The 18,352-nt window shown below is 51.2% G+C and overlaps 1 protein-coding gene across 2 annotated transcripts, besides 8 other annotated features; it reads left to right on the plus strand.

Moving 5' to 3' along the window:
• Positions 1,613-1,662: an enhancer, noted in NCBI's record as "active region_10663". NCBI's record gives its function as "activates an Ori minimal core promoter by ATAC-STARR-seq in GM12878 lymphoblastoid cells {active_cell/tissue: GM12878}" and the evidence as "EXISTENCE:reporter gene assay evidence [ECO:0000049][PMID:35858748]".
• Positions 2,303-2,382: an enhancer, noted in NCBI's record as "active region_10664". NCBI's record gives its function as "activates an Ori minimal core promoter by ATAC-STARR-seq in GM12878 lymphoblastoid cells {active_cell/tissue: GM12878}" and the evidence as "EXISTENCE:reporter gene assay evidence [ECO:0000049][PMID:35858748]".
• Positions 2,563-2,622: a silencer, noted in NCBI's record as "silent region_7329". NCBI's record gives its function as "represses an Ori minimal core promoter by ATAC-STARR-seq in GM12878 lymphoblastoid cells {active_cell/tissue: GM12878}" and the evidence as "EXISTENCE:reporter gene assay evidence [ECO:0000049][PMID:35858748]".
• Positions 2,614-10,527, plus strand: SPN (sialophorin). 2 transcript variants are annotated; one of them, NM_001030288.4, is made up of 2 exons: positions 2,614-2,731; positions 3,346-10,527. In NM_001030288.4, exon 2 carries the CDS (start codon positions 3,380-3,382, stop codon positions 4,580-4,582), a length of 1,203 nt encoding a protein of 400 aa, NP_001025459.1. In that variant the 5' UTR covers positions 2,614-2,731; positions 3,346-3,379; the 3' UTR covers positions 4,583-10,527. The 2 variants fall into 2 exon arrangements, with proteins under 2 accessions (NP_001025459.1, NP_003114.1); NM_003123.6 differs by lacking the exon at positions 2,614-2,731 and adding an exon at positions 2,898-2,967.
• Positions 3,883-4,002: a silencer, noted in NCBI's record as "silent region_7330". NCBI's record gives its function as "represses an Ori minimal core promoter by ATAC-STARR-seq in GM12878 lymphoblastoid cells {active_cell/tissue: GM12878}" and the evidence as "EXISTENCE:reporter gene assay evidence [ECO:0000049][PMID:35858748]".
• Positions 13,899-14,193: a silencer, noted in NCBI's record as "tiled region #12104; HepG2 Repressive DNase unmatched - State 4:PromP". NCBI's record gives its function as "represses a minimal TATA promoter and a strong SV40 promoter by Sharpr-MPRA in HepG2 cells {active_cell/tissue: HepG2}" and the evidence as "EXISTENCE:reporter gene assay evidence [ECO:0000049][PMID:27701403]".
• Positions 15,647-15,916: an enhancer, noted in NCBI's record as "active region_10665". NCBI's record gives its function as "activates an Ori minimal core promoter by ATAC-STARR-seq in GM12878 lymphoblastoid cells {active_cell/tissue: GM12878}" and the evidence as "EXISTENCE:reporter gene assay evidence [ECO:0000049][PMID:35858748]".
• Positions 16,335-16,836: an enhancer, noted in NCBI's record as "H3K4me1 hESC enhancer chr16:29688005-29688506 (GRCh37/hg19 assembly coordinates)". NCBI's record gives its function as "activates a minimal SCP1, AML or CMV promoter by ChIP-STARR-seq in primed H9 embryonic stem cells {active_cell/tissue: H9 hESC(primed)}" and the evidence as "EXISTENCE:reporter gene assay evidence [ECO:0000049][PMID:30033119]".
• Positions 16,837-17,336: an enhancer, noted in NCBI's record as "H3K4me1 hESC enhancer chr16:29688507-29689006 (GRCh37/hg19 assembly coordinates)". NCBI's record gives its function as "activates a minimal SCP1, AML or CMV promoter by ChIP-STARR-seq in primed H9 embryonic stem cells {active_cell/tissue: H9 hESC(primed)}" and the evidence as "EXISTENCE:reporter gene assay evidence [ECO:0000049][PMID:30033119]".

Genomic DNA, 18,352 nt, shown 5'->3' on the forward strand with positions numbered 1-18,352 from the left:
TCAGGAGATCAAGACCATCCTGGCTAACGCGGTGAAACCCTGTCTCTATTAAAAATACAGAAATTAGCTGGGCATAGTGGCATGTGCCTGTAGTCCCAGCTACTTGTGAGGCTGAGACAGGAGAATCGCTTGAACCTGGGAGGTGGAGGTTGCAGTGAGCTGAGATCGAGACACTACGCTCCAGCCTGGGTGACAGAGCAAGACTCCGTCTCAAAAAAAAAAAAAATTATAGTGTATGCCATGGAATATTATGCAACTGTTATATATGTGTGTGTGTTCCCAAAGCATTGTTCAGTAACAAAGGAAAAGTGCAAAACACTAAAATGGATGAATACATGCTTGTGTAAACACAGACACTGTCAGGAATGTTTGTCTGGAGGTGATGGGTATGGAGCCTTTTTGTCTGATATATTGGGTGTATCAAGAATGCCAGGTCCTGAGCAGTTTTTTTTTTTTTTTTTTGAGTTGGAGTCTCACTCTGTTGCCCAGGCTGGAGTGCAGTGGCACAATCTCTGCTCACTGCAACCTCCACCTCCTGGGTTGAAGCGATTCTCGTGCCTCAGCCTCCCGAGTAGCTGGGATTGTAGGCGCCCGCCACCATGCCCAGCTAATTTTTTGTGTTTTTAGTAGAGACGGGGTTTCACCATGTTGGCCAAGCTGGTCTCGAACTCCTGACCTCAGGTGATCTGCCTGCCTCGGCCTTCCAAAGTGCTGGGCTTACAGGCATGGGCCACCGTGCCCAGCCGTTTATATGTATTAACTCTTAATCATCAAAACAAACTATGTGGTATTACCATAATTATCGCCATTTATACAAAGCAACAGAGGGATAAGGAGATTAAGGCACTTGCCCAAGTGCAAGAGGTAGGACAGGAACCCAGAGTCCCGTGCTGGTAGCTGCTTTTCTGTGCACTTAACATTATCTCATTTAATTCTTGCAGTCACTTCATGAAGAAGGTGGCGGTCCTAGGGCATTGGAGAAGTTATGTGCTTGTTCAAGGTCATGCAGCTGGAAGATGGTGGTGGTAGGACAGGAAGTCTGTAGGGCCTGATTCTGCAGCCCTCTAGTCTATACTCCTTTGCTCCTGTGTCCCTCATCCCCCCTGCAGAATGGGCACCCCGTTACCTTTCTGAGCCACTGTGCGCAGAAAAGAGAGCATGTTGGCCAGGCTGGTCTCGAACTCCTGACCTCAAGTGATCAGCCTGCCTTAGCCTCCCAAAGTCCTGGGATTACAGGCGTGAACCACCACGCTCAGCCTCTGAATACTTTGTACTCAAGCCATTTTTCAGTGCTGTGTTTGCAGTGAGCACACCCGAGGGATGAAGACACGTCTCCCTGTGGGAACCTGGGCTTACCAGGGCCCCTAGAGGAGGGGAATCTCTCAAGCTCAGAGCTCTATGGCTGCGGTGCAGGCCCACTGTGTGCATGGTGTCAGTCTGGGCCCTTCCATGTTGCCCCCGTGGGACTTGGGGTAAGGGGAACTGATGCAAACATCACGCTGCTGTTGCTTGGTGTGAGCAATTAATTCCTGTGGCTCTCACCCAGGAGTCTCATGTCTTTGGGTCAGACAAACTCATCAGCTTGTAGAAATGGCACAGTCCCACGGGCCTGTTAGAATCTTCTATTGTGCACATGTTGCTCTTAAAATATACAAATCAGTTTTGATTTTAAAAAATTATTTATTTTTTTAGTGATAGGAGTTTTGCTACGTTGCCCAGGCTGGTTTCAAACTCTTGGGCTCAGGAGGTCCTCCCACTTTGGCCTGGACTGCCAGCATAATGTATCACCACACCCGGGACTGATTTTCGTTTTTCAAGAACAAAAACCAAAAACATACACAAACCGAGAGTCAAAGCTTGCTAATTAGAGGAAAGTCAGGAAATGGGAACCATTCAAAGAAGAAAATACCCCCACCTCCTACTCTCACCTATCCAAAGACAATTAGGTGAATCCCTTAGTAGATATCTTTCCAGACGGTTTTCCATATAGATTCCCATATCTGGCCAGGCGCGGTGGCTCACACCTGTAATCCTAGCGCTTGGGGAGGCTGAGGCGGATGGACCACCTGAGGTCAGGAGTTCGAGACCAGCCTGACCAACATGGAGAAACCTCGTCTCTACGAAAAATACAAAATTAGCCGGGCACAGTGGTGCAAGCCTGTAATCCCAGCTACTCAGGAGGCCGAGGCAGGAGAATTGCTTGAACCTAGGAGGCAGACATTGTGCTGAGCCGAGCCAAGATCATGCCATTGCACTAAACTCCGCCTTAAAAAAAAAAAAAAAGATTCCCACATCTTTACTAGTTTGCAGAAATAAGATCCTAGCATATGCAGTGTGTAGGAACCACCTTGGTTTAGCCACGTCTCTGTGACTGGGGGCCACTGTGGTGACCCCCAGCTCCCCGGACAGAGTCAAGAGCTCACCAGCCTGCAAAGGTTTTCACGGCCCCCAGCCAGACTCGGGGGCTTCCTCTTGCCCTGCTACTTCCTGGGAGCTCTGAGGGCAGGAAATGGCGCCACTCAGCTCCTGGCCTAACAGCTTGGGGACCACAAATGCAAAGGAAACCACCCTCCCCTCCCACCTCCTCCTCTGCACCCTTGAGTTCTCAGGCTCACATTCCCACCACCCACCTCTGAGCCCAGCCCTCCCTAGCATCACCACTTCCATCCCATTCCTCAGCCAAGAGCCAGGAATCCTGATTCCAGATCCCACGCTTCCCTGCCTCCCTCAGGTGAGCCCCAGACCCCCAGGCACCCCGCTGGCCCCTGAAGGAGCAGGTGATGGTGCTGTCTTCGCCCAGCAGCTGTGGGAGCAGGCGGGTGGGGCAGGATGGAGGGGTGGGTGGGGTGGGTGGAGCCAGGGCCCACTTCCTTTCCCCTTGGGGCCCTGTCCTTCCCAGTCTTGCCCCAGCCTCGGGAGGTGGTGGAGTGACCTGGCCCCAGTGCTGCGTCCTTATCAGCCGAGCCGGTAAGAGGGTGAGACTTGGTGGGGTAGGGGCCTCAGTGGGCCTGGGAATGTGCCTGTGGCTTGAAAAGACTCTGACAGGTTATGATGGGAAGAGATTGGGAGCCATTGGGCTGCACAGGGTCAGGGAAGGCCAGGAGGGGCTGGTCACTGCTGGAATCTAAGCTGCTGAGGCTGGAGGGAGCCTCAGGATGGGGCTGATGGGGGAGCTGCCAGCATCTGTTCCTCTGTCATTTCTGATAACAGTAAAAGCCAGCATGGAAAAAACCGTTAAACCGCAGGTTGGGCCTGGCCGTTGGCAGGGAAGTGGGCAGAGGGGAGGCCCGGCCAGGTCCTCCGGCAACTCCCGCGTGTTCTGCTTCTCCGGCTGCCCACCTGCAGGTCCCAGCTCTTGCTCCTGCCTGTTTGCCTGGAAATGGCCACGCTTCTCCTTCTCCTTGGGGTGCTGGTGGTAAGCCCAGACGCTCTGGGGAGCACAACAGCAGTGCAGACACCCACCTCCGGAGAGCCTTTGGTCTCTACTAGCGAGCCCCTGAGCTCAAAGATGTACACCACTTCAATAACAAGTGACCCTAAGGCCGACAGCACTGGGGACCAGACCTCAGCCCTACCTCCCTCAACTTCCATCAATGAGGGATCCCCTCTTTGGACTTCCATTGGTGCCAGCACTGGTTCCCCTTTACCTGAGCCAACAACCTACCAGGAAGTTTCCATCAAGATGTCATCAGTGCCCCAGGAAACCCCTCATGCAACCAGTCATCCTGCTGTTCCCATAACAGCAAACTCTCTAGGATCCCACACCGTGACAGGTGGAACCATAACAACGAACTCTCCAGAAACCTCCAGTAGGACCAGTGGAGCCCCTGTTACCACGGCAGCTAGCTCTCTGGAGACCTCCAGAGGCACCTCTGGACCCCCTCTTACCATGGCAACTGTCTCTCTGGAGACTTCCAAAGGCACCTCTGGACCCCCTGTTACCATGGCAACTGACTCTCTGGAGACCTCCACTGGGACCACTGGACCCCCTGTTACCATGACAACTGGCTCTCTGGAGCCCTCCAGCGGGGCCAGTGGACCCCAGGTCTCTAGCGTAAAACTATCTACAATGATGTCTCCAACGACCTCCACCAACGCAAGCACTGTGCCCTTCCGGAACCCAGATGAGAACTCACGAGGCATGCTGCCAGTGGCTGTGCTTGTGGCCCTGCTGGCGGTCATAGTCCTCGTGGCTCTGCTCCTGCTGTGGCGCCGGCGGCAGAAGCGGCGGACTGGGGCCCTCGTGCTGAGCAGAGGCGGCAAGCGTAACGGGGTGGTGGACGCCTGGGCTGGGCCAGCCCAGGTCCCTGAGGAGGGGGCCGTGACAGTGACCGTGGGAGGGTCCGGGGGCGACAAGGGCTCTGGGTTCCCCGATGGGGAGGGGTCTAGCCGTCGGCCCACGCTCACCACTTTCTTTGGCAGACGGAAGTCTCGCCAGGGCTCCCTGGCGATGGAGGAGCTGAAGTCTGGGTCAGGCCCCAGCCTCAAAGGGGAGGAGGAGCCACTGGTGGCCAGTGAGGATGGGGCTGTGGACGCCCCAGCTCCTGATGAGCCCGAAGGGGGAGACGGGGCTGCCCCTTAAGTGTCGGTGAATAGTGAGGCTGGAGGCCGGAATCTCAGCCAGCCTCCAGCACCTTCCCTCTCACCATCCCACTGCCCCCTCGCTCCCATGTTTCCACCCGGCACCCTGATCCTCACCCGAATCTCCTTTTTTTTTTTCTTTTGAGACAGAGTTTCGCTTTGTCGCCCAGGCTGGAGTGCAATGCACGATCTCAGTTCACTGCAACCTCTGCCTCCTAAGTTCAGGCGATTCTCCTGCCTCAGCTTCCCGAGTAACTGAGATTACAGGCACCCACCACCATGCCCAGCTGCTTTTTTGTATTTTTGGTAGAGATGGGGTTTCACCATGTTGGCTAGGCTGGTCTCAAACTCCTGACCTCAGGTGATCTACCTGCCTCAGCCTCCCAAAGTGCTGAGATTACAGACATGAGCCTCCGCGCCTTGCCTCCTCACCCACCTCTTCACTCTGAATCCTCATGAGGCTTCTCAGCCCTGGATTTCCTGCTGCCATCCTCACCCAGCACCCACAACTAGCGCCTGGGCAGGGCAGGGCTGGCACCTCTCAACGTCTGTGGACTGAATGAATAAACCCTCCTCATCCACCCCTATTTATCTCCATCACCATTTCCCCCTCTTTCTTGTTCCTGGAAACGGCTGCTGAGTCTCCATCGGCCAAACTTATCTGCCCTGTGATTTCTTTGACAATTCTCCTTTTCCCCCAGAACCCACCCTGGGTTGACCAGAGTCTGGGAAGAAGGACAAGAGAACCCGGCAAACTCCCTCCTAGGATTAACTTTGTAAAGCACCCTTGCCCTGTAGCTGCAAGGGCTGTGGAACCTGGGCAGCCCGCAACCACCTTTAGCTCTGGGCCCCCCAGGCCAGCCTGGAGCATGGCTGGGTGGGGCCACCAGCCCATGCTCTCAGGCGGGCCTGTGATCTTTCCCAGGGCACATGGACTGTAGGCTGGCCCTGGCCCACACCACCACACTCTCCCCAGCCATGGACAGAGGCAGCCAGAGGCCTCACGGTTTCTCCTCCGAGTTTCTGGCTGGGTGTAGTTCTCAGAAACCCCAGTGCCTGCGTGTGTCCACTCGTGGGTGTGGTTTGTGTGCAAGAGCTGAGGATTTGGCGATGCTTGGGAGGGGTAGTTGTGGGTACAGACGGTGTGGGGGTGGGAAGTGGTGCAGAGACTGAAGAGGGTCAACCTGGGCATGGGGGACACAGGGACTGCTGAGAACGTGCGTGTCATCTTTGCTCTGATGGGGTGGACATAGCAGAAAATCTAACTCTGTCTGTAGCCCCATACAGAATGCCAGGGTGAGCACAGTGGCTGGTGCCTTTAATCCCAGCACTTTGGAAAGTTGAGGCAGGAGGATCGCTTGAGCCCAGGAGTTCGAGTCTGAAGTGAGCTGTGATTGCACCACTGCACTTCAGCCTGGGCAACAGAGTGAGCCCCTGTCTCAAAAAAGAAAAGAAAAAGAAAGCCAGGCTTCATGGAAAGATCGTATGTGTGACCCAAATATGAGTTCTTCAGCTCAGCCATGGTAATCCCTTCCTTGAAGTCTCCATTTCTGCAGTACACATGCATGTGCGCTCTCTCTCTCTCTCTCTCTCTCACACACACACACACACACACACACACACGCGCGCGCGCGCGCGCTCTCCTGCGAACAGAGGCAGGGGGAGAGGGGTTTGCCCTGGTCTCGGGGACTGGTCTGGCTGGCGCTTCCCCACTGCACGTTTCCAGGTTTAGTTTGTCTGTGTCTCCTCTTCCATCCCAGGGGCTGAGCCCCTTCCATCCTCCAAGAGGAACCAGTGAGAGTGAGTGAAGGAGGGGCCTGGAGCCAGGGACTTCCCCTGTGGGGCCTGGGTGGAGAGGGGAGAACTCAATGGTGCTGCCTTTGAGACCAGCCCAGGCTACAGCCCAGGAGCACACATGGGCCAGGGCAGTTGGTATTTCCCGAGGACAAAGAGGAAATTTTCAAAGAGGAAGTTGTTGAGTTAGAGCTTGCGGTGGCTGAGAGCAGACAGGTTGACCTGCAAAAAAAGACAGGGGAGGCATGTGAGTGTGACAGCCCTGCTCTGTGGCCTGGGCAGGAGATGGGGGAAAGGGTCAGGTGGGGGATGGGCTCGTGCAGTGGGAGAGGAGACGGAGGGAGGGAGCGGGAAGGGGCTTGCTTAGTGGGTGGGAAGAGCTGAGCTCGGATGGAACCAGCTTCTACCAGCCAGGCTGGGCACCCACTGGGCTGCATCTGGTGGCCTTTTCTGATTGCTATTTGGACTCACTGCAGCTGCAGAATGACAGAGGCCATGTCCAAAATCCCTTAGAGACACTGTTGTCTTAGAGTTGTTAAAATAAGAGCCCCCATATCAGGTTTAGAAAATACTGTCACCGAACGAACGTCGCTGTCCTCAGCTCCACCTCCCTTTCCTTTGACAGATATGGTTGTTTTCTAAGCCAGGACTGGTTTTAGTCAGGTCCTGGGCGAATCCTGAAAAAAAGAGGTAGTACGGGTAAGGAAGGCACCCAACAGGGCTTTCACAATCCAGAAAATATCAAAATATAAGTGTTAAAAGAGAGGCACAGGCCGGGTGCGGTGGCTCACGCCTGTAATCTCAGCACTTTGGGAGGCCAAGGTGGGCAGATCATGAGGTCAGGAGTTTGAGACCAGCCTGGCCAATATGATGAAACCCCGTTTCTACTAAAAATACAAAAGTTAGCCAGGCATGGTGGTGTGCTCCTGTAATCCCAGCTACTTAGGAGGCTGAGGCCAGAGAATTGCTTGAACCCTGGAGTCAGAGGTTGCAGTGAGCCGGGATCATGCCACTGTACTCCAGGCTGGGTGACAAAGTGAGACTGTCTCAAAAAATAAAAATAAATAAAATAAATAAAAGAGAGGCACAAACAGTGTTATGAATGCACCAAGGAAAATGGTGCATTCATAACTCTCAGGTGAAGCCTACCAAGCCATGCGTGTGTGCACATATGTGTGTACGTGTGCATGTGCGTGCGTGCATGTGCGTGCGTGCATGTGCCTGTGTGTGTATGTGTGCACATGTGTGTGCGCATGTGTGTGTGTGCGCGCATGTGTGTGTGCATGCATGTTCTCCCATGCATGTGTACTGTGGCAAGGGAGACTTTGAGGAAGAGATTCCAGTGGCTGAGCAGAAGGGCTCGCATTGCCCTGGCGAAAGGTTGGAAGGCTTCACCTGAGAGTGTGTCGTGGCCTTTGTCATATCCACTGCTTGATTCCTTTCTTTAAAAATTATTTTTATTGTTTTCTACATATGAGAACCACCACACCTGGCTAATTTTTGTATTTTTTGTAGAGATGGGGTTTCACCATGTTGTCCCGGCTGGTCTCAAACTCCCGGGCACAAGAGATCCACCTGCCTCAGCCTCCCAAAATGCTGGGACTATAGGCATGAGCCACTGCACCCAGCCACTGCTTCATTCCTGGTGGCTGCTGTGCCTGGCATGTTGCAGATCCTCCATGAATATGCATTTGAATGAATGAATGAATGAATGAATGAATGAATGGAGATGACGCCTCAGAGATTCTTTCTTTTGAGATGAGGTCTCATTCTGTCACCCAGACTAGAGGGCAGTGGTGCAATCACAGCTCACCACAGCCTCAACCTCCTGGGCCTCCCAAGTAGCTGCGATCACAGGTGTGCACCAACATGCCCAGCTAATTTTTTTTTTTAATTTTTAATTTGTACAGACAGGGTCTTGCTGTGTTGCCCAGGCTGGTCTCAAACTCCTGGGCTCAAGTGGTCCTCCCACCTAAGCTTCCCCAAATACTGGGATTATAGGTGTGAGCCACTGTGCCCAGGCTTGCCTCAGATATTTGAAGGCTGGGAAGGATTTTGCAAAGCTGGGAAAAGGAAAAGGCATTCCCAGCAGAGGGGATAGCAGGTGGAAATACATAATTAAAAAAAAAAAACGTGGAGCAGATCCAGCGCAGTGGCTCATGCCTGTAATCCCAGCACTTTGGGAGGCAGAGCAGGGAGGATTGCTTGAGTCTAGGAGTTCAAGACCAGCCTGGGTAACATAGAAAGACCCTGTCTCTACAAAAACACAAAAAATTAGCCAGGCGTGGTGGTGCATGCCTGTAGTACCAGCTACTTGAGAAGCTGAGGCAGGAGGACTGCTTGAAGCCAGGAGTTTGAGACCAGCCTGGGCAACATAGTGAGACCCCGTGTCTACAAAAAGTAAACATTTATATATATATTTTTTAAAGTGGAGCAGTTCAATATAGAGTCTTTTTTGAACAAACGTGAAATAGATGTCTTTTTTTTTTTTTTGAGATGGAGTTTTCACTCTTGTTACCCAGGCTGGAGTGCAATGGCGTGATCTTGGCTCACCAGAACCTCCGCCTCCTGGGTTCAAACAATTCTCCTGCCTCAGCCTCCCAGGTAGCTGGGATTACAGGCATGCACCACCAAACCCGGATAATTTTGTATTTTTAGTAGAGATGGGGTTTCACCATGTTGGTCAAGCTGGTCTTGAACTCCCGACCTCTGCTGATCCGTATGCCTCGGCCTCCCAAAGTGCTGGGATTACATGCGTGAGCCACCGTGCCCGACAATAGATGTCTTTTAATTTTCTGGAGGAAAAAGCAAAGCAAAAGAAGCAGTGGATATTTTAAGACTAAAAAGGAAAACAAAAAAAGGAGATAGAGCAGGCCAGACGTGGTGGCTCAACGTCTGTAATCCCAGCACTTTGGGAGGCCGAGGCAGGTGGATCACCTGAGGTCAGGAGTTCAAGACCAGCCTGACCAACATGGTGAAACCCTGTTTCAAAATACAAAAAATTAGCTGGGCGTGGTGGCGGGCACCTGTAATCCCAGCTACTTGGGAGGCTGAGGCAGGAGAATCCCTTGAACCCAGGAGGTGGAGGTTGCAGTGAGCCGAGATCACGCCATTGCACTCCAGCCTGGGCGACAAGTAAAAAACTCCATCTCAAAAAAAAAAAAGGAGATAGAGCAAGGAACAGTAAGAAAATAGTTGGGTGCAGTGGCTATGCGGTGGCACTATAGGAGGCTGAGGCGGGCAGATCACCTGAGGTCAGGAGTTGGAGACCAGCCTGGGCAACATAGACCCCTATCTCTACAAAAAATTTGAAATATGAAAAATTAGCCAGGTGTAGTGGTGTGCGCCTGTGGTACCAGCTACTCAAGAGGCGAAGGCAGGGAAGATTGCTTGAGCCCAGGAGTTTGAGGCTATAGTGAGCTGTGATCATGCCACTGCACTCCAGCCTGGGCAATAGTGTGAGACTCTGTCTCAAAAGAAAGAACATGGCCAGGCGTGGTGGCTCACACCTGTAATCCCAGCACTTTGGGAGGCCGAGGCAGTCAGATCATGAGGCCAGTTTGAAACCAGCCTGGCCAACATGGTGAAACCCTGTCTCTACTAAAAATACAAAAATTAGCCAGGCGTGGTGGCATGCCCCCGTAATCCCAGCTACTTGGGGGTCTGAGGCAGAAGAATTGCTTGAAACCGGGAGGCAGAGGTTGCAGTGAGCCGAGATCGTGTCATTGCACTCTAGTCTGGGCGACAGAGCAAGACTCCGTCTTGGAAAAAAATTTAAAAAAAGAAAATATAAAATATGGTATAAGATTAAATATATTAGTTATGAAAATAATTGTAAATGGCTTATTGAACTTATAGTCAGTAAAAATCATGTTTTTGAAAATTATGTAATGACTTTGGAAAATACCAGCAATATAATGTTAAGTGGGGAAAAAAGCAAGTTACTCCTCTGTAATACATATGATTTTAGTTTTGTAATAAAAATTCCCAACCATATATGCACTTATAGGGAAACAAAGGACCCATCGCAAATGTTTTCCATGCTGATCTCCAAAGTGGTGAGTTTATGTGTGATTTTTATTTTGTTTATGCTCTTCTGTATTTTCCGAATTTCATACAATAAATATCTGTTACTTTTACAATATGAAAAAATAGTGGTCAAAAAGGTGTTCAAGGGGGTGGCCTGGGGGTGTCTGGTTTGAGGAGAGTGGTAGGGGATGAGGCTGCAAGTGGAGGTTGGAGCCATGCTATGAAAAGTTCAAGAGTTTGAATTGAGTTCTGAGGTTTGTTTTTGTTTTTGTTTTTGTTTTTTGAGACGGAGTCTCACCCTGTCACCCAGGCTGGAGTGCAGTGGCACGGGTTCATGCCATTCTCCTGCCTCAGCCTCCTGAGTAGCTGGAACCACACGCGCCCGCCACCACACCAGGCTAATTTTTTTGTATTTTTAGGAGAGACAGGGTTTCACCATGTTAGCCAGGATGGTCTCGATCTCCTGACCTCGTGATCCACCTGCCTCGGCCTCCCAAAGTGCTGGGATTACAGGCGTGAGCCACAGTGCTCTGCGTGAGCCATAGTGCTCTGCTGAGAGTTTGAATTGCATTCTGGAAGTAGTGGTGAAATCAACACACCTAAGTCTGCTCTTCTCCTCTCTTCTAGTCCCCAGAGTGGTGAGTAGCATCGTTCTGGTGGCCCAGGCAAAACGCCTTAGGACCACCGTGCAGCCCCACTCTTTCCCCATTCCTGCTCTCCAGGTGCCAAGTCCCTGGCTCTTCTTCCACCGACCCTTGCATCCCTTCCTTCTCTTCAGTCCTCATCGCACCTCACCGGGATCCTATTGACACTTCCCCTTTGATTTCCTTCCGCTCTCTGCTAGTGATGGTCCCAGGGACCCTTCTAAAAGGTCACTGTGGGCTGGGCACAGTGGCTCACGCCTGTAATCCCAACACTTTGAGAGGCTGAGGTGGGCCAATCATCTGAGGTCAGGAGTTCGAGACCAGCCTGGCCAACATGGTGAAACCCCATCTCTACTGAAAGTACAAAAATTAGCCGGGCGTGGTGGTGTGCACCTGTAGTCCCAGCTACTCGGGAGGCTGAGGCGGGGGAATTGTTGGTCCCCGGGAGATGGAGGTTGCAGTGAGCCAAGATCGCGCCGTTGCACTCCAGCCTGGGTGACAGAATGAGACTCCGTCTCAAAAAAAAAAAAAAAAGAAAAAAGAAAAATAGCTGGGCATCGTGGCACACACCTGTAGTTCCAGCTACTCAGGAGGATGAGGTAGGAAGATCACTTGAGCCCAAGAGGTCCAGACTGCAGCGAGTCATGATCACACCACTGCACTCCAGCCTGCGTGGCACCCTGTCTCAAAATATAATAATAATAAAATTTAAAAATAAAATAAAACGCTGCTCTGTCTAGGTGATATTCCTCTATCCCCAAGGCTGTCAGGGTGGAACCCTCCTTCCTTAGCGTGGCATATAAGCCCCTCGGGACCTGGCCCTATCTCTCCTCTGACCACCCCTGCCCGGTCAGCCCTTGTTACAGACAGTCTGTGCTATCCAGCCCCATCAAATTCCTGTTGCTCCCTAAATATGCCACACACTTTATTTGGAGGAGAGGGGTGAAGAAGGGTAGTTTAACATGTTCAAAATATTTATTTTTTCCAGACAGTAAAATAACATTTTTTCCTGTTTTGCAAAAGTTAATTATCAGCACATTGAAGATTTTCCTTTTTTTTCTTTTCTTTTTTTTTTTTTTTTTGAGTCAAAGTCTTGCTCTGTTCCCCAGGCTAGAGTGCAGTAGCGCGATCTCGGCTCCACCTCCCGGGTTCAAGTGATTATCCTGTTTCAGCCTCCCGAGTAGCTGGGACTACAAGCACATGCCACCATGCCCAGCTAATTTTTGTATTTTTGGTAGAGACGGGGTTTCACAATGTTGGCCAGGCTGGTCTTGAACTCCTGACCTCAGGTGATTCACCCGCCTCACCCTCCCAAAGTGTTGGGATTACAGGCATGAGCCACTGCGCCCGGCCAGCAGTCTTAAATAACAGAATTCACACACACACACACACACACACACACACACACACACACGCACTGTATTATATTTCATCTTATACTTTAAAATGTTTCCTTTTTTTTCCTCAAAAGTACACATTAAGATCATGTTTACAAATAAAGCCTTGTCATCCAAAGTGAAAAATCCAGATGGCAAGATTTGGATGGGGAAGGTCTTGAGAAATCTGCGAATGGAGTTCACTTTTGCAGACAGGAAATGGGCCCTAATATATGGTTCTAAGGACATTCCATTTCTGAAAATGTACATTTCCACCCGCTTTTCCTCTCCTTCCTTCCTCCCTCCCTCCCTCCCTCTCTCTCTCTCTCTCTCTCTTTCTTTCTTTCTGACAAGGTCTTCCTCTGTCGCTGACGCTGGAGTGCAATGGTGCGATCTCGGCCCATTGCAACCTCCGCCTCCTGGGCTCAAGTGATCCTCCCCCCTCAGCCTCCCAAGTAGCTGGGACCACAGGCACACGCCACGGCACCCAGCTAATTTTTGTATTTTTTGTACAGATGGGTTCTCACCATGTTGCCTAGGCTGATCTTGAACTGCTGGGCTCAAGTGATCCTCCCGCCTCAGCCTCTCAAAAGTGCTGGGATTACAGGCGTGAGCCACCGCACCTGGCCTGCATCCCCATTTCTGACCCTTGACCATGTTCAAGTGGGAAGGGGAAGCCGGGGAAGGGAGGACGGGCTACCTGAGGGCTGCGGGTAGAGGTGACTCCTGTGAGCTGTGAGCCCTCAGCCCTTGGGCAGAGGGAACAGAACAGAAACAGACCCCATCTCTGAGCCACCAAGCTCAGACTCGTGTGGCAGGAGACAGATCACACAACACTATCAACAAAACAACACAGGTCGCAGTGGCTCACACCTGTAATCCCAGCACTTTGGGAAGCTGAGGTGAGAGGATTGCTTAACCGCAGGAGTTCGAGACCAGTCTGGCCAACATAGCGAGACCCCATCTCTCAAAAAAAGAAAAAAATTAGCTGGGCCTGGTGATGCACACCTGTAGTCCCAGCTACTTGGGAGGCTGAGGTGGGAGGACAGCTTGAACCAGAGAGGTCGAGGCTGCAGTGAGCTATGATTGTGCCACTGCCACTGCACTCTAGTCTGAGCAATAGAGTGAGACCCTGTCTTCCAAAAAAAAAAAAAAAAGAGAGAGAGAGAGAGAAGAATATAATCAAAAGTTTCTAAATTCCCAAAGTAGTAACAAAAGCAGACCCAAACAAAAGTAGAGAGAAAATCTTCGAAACTTAAAAGGCTATTTAGGCTAAGGAGCCCACCCAGTGGTGACCACCTAGTTCTGGGAGGTTTGGGGCAGGGCCATTAGACAATGGAAACTCAGGTTATTTTGGAGACAATCAACTTGCTCCCAAAAATGAGCTGCAAGCAGGTGCCTGTGTGCTCAGCCCAGTCTGGAGCTCAGAGCCTGCCTGCCCCACTGCACCATCACCAGCCCAGCTGAACCAGGGTCCCAGGCAAGCCGTACAGGCTCTGCGTTGGCCTTGGAGAGAACCGCCGACTCCCCCGAGTTGCCTGAGCTCGGCCTGAAGCCAGCCCTCCCCACGCTGGCTCACAATAAATGCCTTGACTTCCCGCCAACTCTTCCTCAACCATTAAGATTCAGCTCAACTGTCACGGGCTCTGTGCAGCTGCCCTCGCTGCCCCACCCCACGCAGACTTTGTGTTCCTTCTCCACTCCTGCAGCACCCCTTGCGACAGCATGAATAACCCGGCTGTAGTGATGTGAGGGTGACACTCATCACCAGTGTGTGAGCCCCTCCAAGGCCACATGTCCTCTTTGTGTTTCCAGAGCCCAGGGCCCAGCATGCGGTAGCTACCTAGTATATGTTTACTGAATGGAGGGATGAATAAATTCATGCACAAAGAATAGTTTTATTTATTTATTTATTTTTGAGACAGAGTCTTGCTTCTGACACCCAGGCTGTAGCGCAGTGGTGCGATCTTGGCTCATTGCAACCTCTGCCTCCCAGGTTCAAGCAATTCTCCTGTCTCAGCCTCCCAAGTAGCTGGGATTACAGGCATGCGCGCCACCACGCCCGGCTAATTTTCTATTTTTAGTAGAGACGAGGTTTCAACATGTTGGCCAGGCTGGTCTCGAACTCGCGACCTCAGGTGATCTGCCTGCCTTGGTCTTCCAAAGTGCTGGGATTACAGGTATGAGCCACCGCGCCTGGCCTTATTTGTTTATTTTCATAAACAAATTTCTGTTGCCCAGGCTGGTCTCAAACTCCTGGCCTCAAGTGATCCTCCTGCCTCAGCCTCCCAAACTGTTGGGATTACAGGCACAAGCCACAGTGCCTGGCCCAGTTCTGTCCTTTGAGTTGACCTGGTCATCCAGGAGGATGTTCTGAGGAAGTGTGAAATGATAATATTATTCTAGCCCACGCTGGATACAGTGGCAGTCTGGAAGGTGAAAGAGGTTGGGTTTGAAATAGATTTATTGGCCAAGTGCAGTGGCTCACACCTGTAATCCCAGCACTTTGGGAGGCCGAGGCAGGAGAATTGCTTCAGCCTTTAAACATGGCGAAACCCTGTCCCTATTAAAAATAAAAAAGTTCGATGGGCGTGGTGGCATTCACCTGTAGTCCCAGCTACTCAGGAGGGTGAGGCAGGAGAATCACTTCAGCCCTATAGGTTGAGGCTGCTTTGTGCTGTGATCATGCCAATGCACGCTAGCCTGGGTGACACAGTGAGACCCTGTTTCAAAAACAAAAACAAAAACAGAATAGAGGCCTGGAGCTTGAGAGGGAACTCAGGATAGAAGATATAGATTTAAGAGTCGGCTGGATGCAGTGGCTCAAGGCTGTAATCCCAGCACTTTGGGAGGCTAGGGTGGGTGTATCACTTGAGGTCAGGAGTTCGAGACCAGCCTGAACAACATGGCGAAACCCCATCTCTACCAAAAATAACAAAAACTAGCTGGGCATGGTGGCATGCGCCTGTAATCCCAGCTACTTGGGAGGCTAAGGCAGGAGAATCACTTGAACCCGGGAGGTGGAGGTTGCAGTTAGCCGAGATTGTACCACTGGATTCCAGCCTGGGTGACAGAGTGAGACTCCCTCTCAAAAAATAAAAATAAAAATAAATAAATAAATAAATAAATAAATAGTGATACAGATAGATAGATACATAAATTATATCATTCACTGGGTAGATTGAGAAGAGAGCTGTAGAGAGAATCTGAGTGTAATAGTCAGGGCAGGCTAACTGCTGTAAGAAACAGTGCCCCCACATCTCAGCGGTATAACTCAAAAGAAGTTTTTTCCTTCTTATGACAGTCAATTCCTGACATCTGGAGCATGACCTTTCACAACATTATTCCGGGACCCAGTCTCCTTCCATCTAGTGGCTCTGTCATCCTCCTAGGGCCTTGGAGTGGTCTGCTTTTGACCAGCTAATGGGAGGGGAGAGGCAGAATAGGATCCTGTGAAGACTTCTAGGGTCAGGTCTGGAAATATCTTTTGCTCACACTCCATTGGCCAGAACAAGACTGCCTCAGTGCAGAGGAAGCTGGGAAATGTAGTTTAGTAGGGTACCCAGAAGGAAAAGGGAAACAGTCTCTGCCACACTGAAGCAACACCAAAATCTGAGGGTTGGATGTAGGAAGAAGCACCTGCAAAAGATAGAAAAGAGCCTTTAAGAGGATCACCTGAAGCCAGGAGTTTGAGACCAGCCTGGGCAGCATAGCAAGATCCTATCTGTACAAAAAATAAAAATAAAAAATTAGCCTAGGGTGGAGGCATGCACATACAGTCCCAGCAACTCAGGAGGCTTGGGGCCAGGAGTTTGAGGCTGCAGTGAGCTTTGATTGGGCCACTGCACTCCACTTAAGCCTGAGTGACAGAGCAAAACCCTGTATCCAAAAAAAAAAAAATTAACCAGGAGAAAAATGACATTTGGAGATCCTGTCTCTAAAGAAAAAAAAAGCTCACTGCATAGCTCACTGCAGCCTCAGAAACAGGCCCAGGACTGAATCAAGGCCAGCAAGGTGCTGGGGTGATAAGCGAGCCCGACTCCAGCCTGGCCAACACGGTGAAACCCCTTCTCTACTAAAAATACACAAATTAGCTGGGCATGGTGGCAGACGCCTGTGGTTCCAGCTACTCAGGAGGCTGAGGTAGGAGGATCACTTGAGCCTGGGGCGTGGAGGTTGTAGTGGGCCAAGATTGTGCCACTGCACTCCAGCCTGGGTGACAGAGCAAGACCCTGTCTCAAAAAAAAAAAAAAAAAAAAAAGTGAGCTGGAGGATGAGGCCTCCCTAAATTTTGTGCCTTGGGTGTCTCGATCCGTCACGCCAGCCCCAGTCCCGGCAGTCAGGTGCGGCAGAGAAAGCAAAGGGAGAAGGCTGGGAAGATGCAAGTGAATTTAGCGACTAGCAGTCCCTGTGAGCAACTGTAGCAAGAAGGGTTTCCAATGAAGAAAGGAAGGCCCTGGGCCAGGCGCGGTGGCTCATGCCTGTAATCCCAGCTCTTTGGGAGGCAGAGGCGGGTGGATCACCTGAGGTCGGGAGCTCAAGACTAGCCTGACCAACATAGAGAAACCCCGTCTCTACTGAAAAAAAATACAAAATTAGCCGGGTGTGGTGGCGCATGCCTGTAATCCCAGCTATTCGGGAGGCTGAGGCAGGAGAATCGCTTGACCCCGGGAAGCGGAGGTTGCAGTGAGTCGAGATCACGCCATTGCGCTCCAGCCTCGGCAACAAGAGCGAAACTCCATCAAAAAAAAAAAAAAAAGGAAGAAAGAAAGGCCCTGGCAGTTCTTGGACAGGAACTTGCCTGAAGTCCCAGTCCCGGTGACTGGTGGTTTCCCCACTTTCTGGTTCAGAAGCTGGGCTCTAAGCTGTCTGTGCCCTTAAAGTTCCTTGGAAAGAGGGAAGGGAAGGGAAGTGGATATTAGGTGAGTTCCTACTCTGTTTCATTTGCAGAGTTTTCTCATTGATTCTCAGTTGGACCCATGAGGTAGATGTTATGCCATTACATTTTTTTTTTCTTTAGAGACAGGGTCTCTCTCTGTCACTCAGGCTGGACTGCAGTGGCACGATCACGGCTCACTGCAGCTTTGAACTCCTGGGCTCAAGTGATCCTCCCATCTCAGCCTACAGGTGTGCACCACTGTACTTAGCTAATTTCTTTTTCTTTTTTCTTTTTTTGGGAGAGATGGGATCTCTGTATGTCTCTATGATGCCCACACTGGTCTCAAACTCCTGGCCTCAAGCGATTCTCCTGCCTTGGCCTCCCAAAGCACAGGGATTACAGGCATGAGTCGCTGTGCCCAGCCTGTTATGCCGGGTTTTTTTGTTTTGTTTTGTTTTTTGAGACAGAGTCTCGCTCTGTCGCCCAGGAGTACAGTGGCATGATCTTGGCTCACTGCAAGCTCCACCTCCCGGGTTCACACCATTCTCCTGCCTCAGCCTCCCGAGTAGCTGGGACTACAGGCGCCCACCACCACACCCGGCTAATTTTTTGGTTTTTTAGTAGAGACGGGGTTTCACCATGTTAGCTGGGATGGTCTCGATCTCCTGACCTCGTGATCTGCCTGCCTCAGCCTCCCAAAGTGCTGGGATTACAGTCGTGAACCACTGCATCCGGCCTGTTATGCCGTTTTTTAAATTAATTAATAAATTTATTTATTTATCTTGAGACAGAGTCTCACTCTGTCACCCAGGCTGGAGTGCAGTGGCATGATCTCGACTCACTGCAACCTCCACCTCCGGGGTTCAAGTGAGTCTCATGCCTCAGCCTCCTGAGCAGCTGGGATTACAGGCGGCCGCCACCATGCCCGGCTAATTTTTGTATTTTTAGTAGAGATGGGGTTTCGCCATGTTGGCCAGGCTGGTCTCAAACTCCTGACCTCAGGTGATCAACCTGCCTCTGCCTCCCAAAGTGCTGGGATTACAGGCGTG

Source organism: Homo sapiens, chromosome 16 (genome assembly GCF_000001405.40).
Source record: "Homo sapiens chromosome 16, GRCh38.p14 Primary Assembly".
Classification (NCBI taxonomy): Eukaryota; Metazoa; Chordata; class Mammalia; order Primates; family Hominidae; genus Homo; species Homo sapiens.